Source organism: Homo sapiens, chromosome 5, assembly GCF_000001405.40.
Source record: "Homo sapiens chromosome 5, GRCh38.p14 Primary Assembly".
Lineage (NCBI taxonomy): Eukaryota > Metazoa > Chordata > Mammalia > Primates > Hominidae > Homo > Homo sapiens.
In genome coordinates this window covers 119,629,307-119,636,030 of record NC_000005.10, presented here as the reverse complement: position 1 = coordinate 119,636,030, position 6,724 = coordinate 119,629,307, and the positions used below count along the sequence as shown (strand labels likewise).

General features: G+C 47.8%; 1 protein-coding gene across 3 annotated transcripts; it reads right to left on the bottom strand.

The window, feature by feature from the left end:
- Nucleotides 1-208: 208 nt before the first annotated feature.
- On the bottom strand, nt 209-6,473 carry FAM170A (family with sequence similarity 170 member A). Of its 3 annotated transcripts, none has more exons than NM_001367956.1 (5): nt 6,193-6,473; nt 3,143-3,283; nt 1,297-2,071; nt 945-1,003; nt 209-331 (listed from the first exon to the last, which is right to left on the bottom strand). In NM_001367956.1, the coding sequence occupies exons 1-4, from the start codon at nt 6,260-6,262 to the stop codon at nt 997-999; spliced, it is 993 nt and encodes a 330-aa protein (NP_001354885.1). In that variant the 5' UTR covers nt 6,263-6,473; the 3' UTR covers nt 209-331; nt 945-996. The 3 variants fall into 3 exon arrangements, with proteins under 3 accessions (NP_001354885.1, NP_877438.2, NP_001157463.1); NM_182761.4 differs by having other exon boundaries at nt 945-1,000; NM_001163991.2 differs by lacking the exon at nt 3,143-3,283 and having other exon boundaries at nt 945-1,000.
- Between the last annotated feature and the right edge of the window lie 251 nt (nt 6,474-6,724).

Genomic DNA, 6,724 nt, shown 5'->3' with positions numbered 1-6,724 from the left:
GAGGCTGAGGCAGGAGAATCACTTTAATTCAGGAGGCAGAGGTTGCAGTGAGCCGAGATCATGCCATCGCACTCCAGCCTGGGCAACAAAAATGAAACTCCATCTCAAAAAAAAAAAAAGAAGAAGAAGAAGAAAAAGAAAAAGGAAAAAAAAAGAAAATGATGAATAGATAGGTAGATTAATTTGTTAATTAAATAATATATCCAGGTAAGGTTTGAAACACAACCTTTATTACGTATGATGTTTACATGTTAGACTGAGTGCTGGTCCCTCATCTGCTTCATACCTTGGGCAGCCTGTCTGCTACTATCTCCATGGCTCTTTCTTCTCCCTGGAAGTGAAGAAAACAATTGAGGCAGAAGAGGAAGAGGCAAGAAACAATACAAGCATTGCTAGTCAGTTACCCTTCACCTTTGTTTTGAAGCTCAGAGTCATGCAACCCACAGTGAGTTCATTTCCAGATCAAATGCAGCAAAATGAAGGTTCTGAAACATTTCCAGTTCTCTTGGTGTCTCATCAGGATGATGTTGTTACCTCTCCAAATTCCCCTTTTCCCCAAGGGCTATATCTATGGGCTCAGGTGGGATCCCAGCTCAGGCCAAAGGCTCTCAGACTCCACACCTCTGATCTTGCTGGCATCCTGTCCTTTCAGGCCAATCCTGGCCCTTGAGGTTACACTGAGCTTCCGCTGCCTAGAAGAGCTGCAGCACCTCCTCTTAGAATTGAGGACAATCATGCAGACATTGAGAAAGTTCCCAGTCAATGCTCTTCACCTTGTCATCTAAGCAAATGGAGGACAATTCCCCCAGAAGCACCAGGTGCACGATAAGTTGATGTGGCTGCAGAGCCACCAGGTGACCCAGTGCATCCCTGCAGCTCCTTCCCTTGGATTCCTCTGGGCCCTCACAACACAGCCTCAGAAAACTGCAAGTCTCACTCCTTACCTCTTGCAAGAGAAGGCCACACCATCTTCCAGTATCTTCTGGCCCATAAGTCTCAGCTGCTGTGTGAAAATCAAACCAAAGAAAGACACTTCTTAGTTAATGCGACTTTTGAAATTCTCAGAATTTCCTGCAGGAGCTGGAAAGGTCAAGACAAATCCTGACTTACAATCGAGACTTTATTAGATGCCTAGGCAAGAAGCAGGGATCCCAGTTATGTCCCCCTCCATTGTTCCCTGAGCCAATAAAGCCCCCAAATCTTCCTTACAGAGACCTAAGCCTGAACTGGGGAGACAGTACTGGCTCGGGGAAGCCATTGCTCCCTCAGCAGACCCACAACCCAGGCTTTGCTCACTTCCTGTCCTTTGGAGAATGAAACACACAGCCTGGACATTGGCTCCAGGATCTCCTCAGGCCAAGGTCTTCTTCTGTGGGCTGCCCCTCCTCCTCCTTTGCTTCTGGTTTCTCTTCCTCCTCCTTCTCATTTCCATTTTCCTCCTCCTGCTCATCTTGGGTGCTCTCTGATTCCATGTTGCCTGTCAGCTGAGCCATGGTGAGATGAAAGACGTGGCAGCTGAAGCCCTCTCTGATCCCAAACTGCACATGCTCCTGGAGGGCTTCCATGGTGGTGAACACCCGGCAGCAGGCCATGCACCTGAAGCCGTTCTCCATGGTCACCAGCCAGTCAGGAGTCTTGGCTCTGGGTGTGTCCTCAACGGTGGGTGAGCCTGGCAGGCTGTCTGATTCTGTCCTTTCCTCATGCTCTTTCTCCTCCCCACTGGGCTCACTGTCAGACAGGAGGTTTCTGGTGGACACATCAGAGGGGGGAGTACCTACCCTCACAACCTCAGAAAGGGTCACTTCTTCCATCCTTGGCTGCTTTTCTAAGGACTCCAAAGTTTCCTCTGTCTCCCAGGAGACAGCCACACCTTTGTTCATTTGTACCTGCATGTAGTATATTTTCATGCCCCTTTCCTCTTTGTTTACACACAGAGAGGACACACAAGTCTTATAGGATGAATAGGACGACAAGGAGACATGTTGTGAGCGGGGAGGAGTCTCTCCTCGTTCCTGAACCTGGGCCAGGGGTGATTGAGGCTGGGGGCTGTCTCGATGTATTCTCTGGATTCCTGGGAAAGGAAATTAGAAACATGAGCAGATGCATGGGCCATGCTAGGAGCTGAGGGAACGTAAGTTAAATATGTGTGGTGCAGGAGACAGGGACTGTGGTGAGATGCAGCTGTGTAGTGAGCTTGGTATTTGTTGTTCATATTGTGGGGTAGTGATTCTAGTGTCATTTGCGTGTAGGGATGTTGGTGGGGTGTCCATATACAGGGGTGTGGAGTATGGTGGTGAGGACTGCAGCATATGTGGAATGTCGGCAGCATGTGTGTGCTATGAGGATGTGAGTTGGTGCCATCATTGATGTGTTATTTGTGGAATGTGGGAGGTAGTGTGGGAGAATGGCACTGCAGGTCATGCATTTGGGTGGTGTGTGTGCAGAAAGTGTACCTGTGGAGCGTGTGGCTGTATGTGTGAGGTGTGTGGGCCTGAGCTAGAGTCCCGCTGCAGTGCTGGAGGCCTGGGCTGAGGAAATCTGTCTTTCTCTGGAAGGCAAAGGCAGAGCCCAAATAGTTCCGATGAAAGTGCTTAATCTGGTCCTGTGGCCCTACACCCCAACAGCAGACTTTTCTGGCCTCTGCTCCCTGACTGCCTGACTGCACACCAGGGCTCATGCTCTCCTACACTGAGCTTATATCCATGCTCTTCTAACAGCTCTGTCATCTTGCCCAGACACCTCTGCAGAGCTCTGATCATATCCAACTGCCCTGGGTTTCTTCTTAGCCTCATCCTTGGATCTATGGGCCTCCTGCCCCCTACCCAAGGAGCCCTGCACCCAATCCCATGCCTAAGGAGTCCAGCACCCAAAGAGTCACATACCCATAGCGCCCTGCATCCAGAGTCTCATGCTCAAGGAACCTCACACCCAGAGAATGTCACATCCAAGGAGCCCCACACCCAAAGACTGTCACACCGAAGGAGCCCCAAACCCAAAAAGCCCCACTCCCAAAGAGTCTTACACCCAAGCAGCACTGCAACCAAAGAGTCTCATGCCCACAGAGCCCCACACTCAAATATTTTCATGCCCAATGAACCCCACAGCCAAGGAGCCACGTGCCGAAGGAACCCTGCACCCTTACCACTGTGGATGAGCTTGCGTGAAGAAGAAACGCAGGAGCAGTATTCGGAGGTAGAAGTAACTTCTCCCACCCCTTGGCTCCAGCCTTTGGCCACTCTAGTGGATCCAGGCTGCAGGGCATCCTCTTGGGACTTTGACATTCCTGAGAAAGGTATGAAGGGAACAGAGATATGATGGATGGGTAATGTTTGTGCATCATTTACCATCCAACAAATATTTACTGAGTGGCTGACCTATGTCAGGTGTAGTGAACACACATGGTTTGTGAGACAGGCTTCTGGTGGATACTCCAGTATTTAATTACAGTCAACAGGTATTTTGATAGTGTATCAATAGGAACATAGGCCTGTGTGGTGACTATGAGTACGTCTGAAGCGTAAGAGTGATACATACCAGATAGCCTTTGATATGTGTAGATTTGTGTGGGTATATTGTAGAAACATGTGTCTGTGTCTGTGGAGTTTGTGTGCATAGTTTTGTGTTTACAACCCTGAAATTATGCAATATGTAATTTTTCCTGATTGTATGGTGTGGCTTGTATTTATAATGTACATTAATTCATTCATCTGGCAATATTTTCATGAACAGCTACCATGAATCAGACACCAGTCCACTCTTCTAGGCTCTAGGAATACTGAACAAAACAGTCCTTCTTCTAAGTGGACTTTCCATTCTAGACAAGGAAGACAGACATTAAGCAGAAATATATAAGTATATCATAGGTCAGCTCATTATGAATTTATAAGGGTCATCAGATTTAGCAAACAAAAATAGCTGATGCCAAGTTAAATTTGAATTTTAGATAAATTACAAATAATTTTTTTAGCGTAAGTATGTCCCGTGCAATATTTGTCATACTTATTTTTAGTGTCAGTATGTTCCATAAAATATTTGGGACACACTTATACTAAAAAATCATTGGTGGTTTATCTGATATTCAAGTTTAACTGAACATCCTGTATTTTATCCGGCAACCCTAATAAGGGGATGGTGGTGAATCTTTGTTTCGTTGTGGTCTATGCAAAGCAGGCCTGGCTCTGCTACACAATGTGTTGCAGATATGGCATGTATGATGTGTGACTGGCTCTTAAAGAGGTATTTAGAGATAGTTTAACATAGATGTGTTTGTGTGAGAGTTGAGGAGACACACACACACACTCCCCACACACAAGAAATCTCTGTAGGAAGAAAAGACTGTCACACACATGGGTTGTGTGAGTATGTAATAGAGGAACGGTATGTGTATATAACTATATCCACTGTGTGTGGAGGTGTGTGACTCTTTCTCTGTATCAGAGTATATATGGGCATATGAGTGACTGTCTCCTGGAATACCCTTAACAAAAATTCGGTATACACTGTTATGTGTATTGAGTGTTGCCCAGGCCCAGGCATGGTGATAGGAAGTTCACCCCGCAGACCCCACCACTGTGCTCCCATTATCTCCAGTCCTCCCCCTCCCAACACACACACACATGTGCACACACAGACACACACACAGGCAGACAAAACATTCTGAAATGTAAGGGTAGATGAAGGAGAGGAAAACCATTGCCTTCCCCTTCCTGTCCCAGCCCCCTGCTCTCCATGCCTACTCTCCACGCCTCCATTCCCAGGGCTCAACCTACAGGTCTTTATGCCTCATAGGCGCTGCTGAGCTCTAATCGGGGCAGAAGCCTCCAGGGCCATCTCTGGGGCAGGCTCCTTTCTGCCCTGTCTCCTGCATGTGAGCATCCCCCTTTCAGGATAAGTGGCTTGTTTACATTTAATACATGCCATTATCATGCAGCCTGGGAAGTAAATTGACAGCGATCTGAGGCCCTTACCCTGTGCTTCATTTCCTCTGGGAAGTCCCACACTGTGGATTCACAAACTCTATTGGATTAATTGGTTAATTCTTCCCGCTGAAGCAATCAAACCTCCGTGGTTTCACTATGACGCCATCCCTAAACAAGTGTTTAATCTACTTTCTAACAAGCATTTCACTTCTCAAGATATTTTTCAACAAGGCCTTTAACTCATTGGGCTACTCTCGTTTCTGCTAAAAGGTGTAGTGCAAATCATAGACTTCTACCAGCACCCTTCACACCTTCCACCTCAGTCACCCCAGAGAAAGAGCAAATAAAGAGAATACGAGAGAAAGATGAGACTCAGGCTGCATCACTGGGTCTTTGTAAGTGGGTCCCCCGCCTGCCTGAGACTGGCATAGTTCCAGGTACCAGCAGCCCCAGAGCAAAAGTTCTCAGCCCAGCAGGGTTGGCTTTCTGTGTGCCAGTGGCATCTGAACTTCCTGTCCGTCTCACATCTGGGTACCCTCAAGATGGATGTGCGGGCATCAGCCAACAGCCAGGTCTTCCCCTCCCTACTGCATAGGTGGTACATTCTCCTCAGTTTCTCCTCCCTAAAGAAGGCTCAGGCTGGCCGGGAGCGATGGCTCACGCCTATAATCCCAGCACTTTGGGAGGCCGAGGCAGGTGGATCATGAGGTCAGGAGATCGAAACCATCCTGGCTAACACGGTGAAACCCTGTCTCTACTACAAATACAAAAAAAAAAAAAAAAAAAAAAATTAGCCAGGCGTGGTGGCGGGCGCCTATAGTCCCAGCTACTCGGGAGGCTGAGGCAGGTGAATGGCGTGAACCTGGGAGGCGGAGCTTGCAGTGAGCCGAGCTCACACCACTGCACTCCAGCCTGGGCGACAGAGCAAGACTCTGTCTCAGAAACGAAAAAAAAAAAAAAAAGGAGGCCGAGGCAGGCGGATCAGGAGGTCAGGAGATCGAGACCATCCTGGCTAACACGGTGAAACCCCGTCTCTACTAAAAATACAAAAAATTAGCCGGGCGTGGTGGTGGGCACCTGTAGTCCCAGCTACTCGGGAGGCTGAGGCAGGAGAATGGCGTGAACCCGAGAGGCAGAGCTTTCAGTGAGCCAAGATCGCGCCACTGCACTCCAGCCTGGGCGATAGAGCGAGACTCCGTCTCAAAAAAGAAAAAGAAGGCGGCTCAGGCTGGCCAGTGACGCTTGTGCCCCAGAAAGTTTGCCCCGCACATACCTCCTCCCTTCTCAGCGGTTTCCTGGGACTCTTCATTTTCCAAATGTTTCCTCTTTTGTCGTCGTTTCATGATATCAGCTAGAAGAGTTTCTAGAAGATGCTTAATGTCCACCTCCCACTTTTTCCTGTAGATTGGCCCTTCTTGGCTCTCAGGAAATTCATTAAAAAGATTCAGTACGAGTAAACGTAGTTGAATCTCCGAGATAGCTAAAGAACTCAGACCGCTTAGTGAAGGAGCAGCACTGCCCAGTGCCCACTACACTGCAGGGCTGTTAAGGTTCAAAGGTCACCAGGCCCATCGCAGATTCTCTGACATCAATGATGACATCACGGCGTTCTACGGACCTAGGTCCAACACAGTCTGTGCAACTGCAGAGACATCATTTTCAAAAACAATTCCTTTTTTCCAATAGAAGTCCTCTAATGAATTCAACTCTCCCGTATTTCAAATGTGGCAGAATATTTTGAGATGTTAACATGTTCTGTTTAATTTTTTTCTTTTCTTCTTTTTTTTTCACCCTTTCCCTTCTGG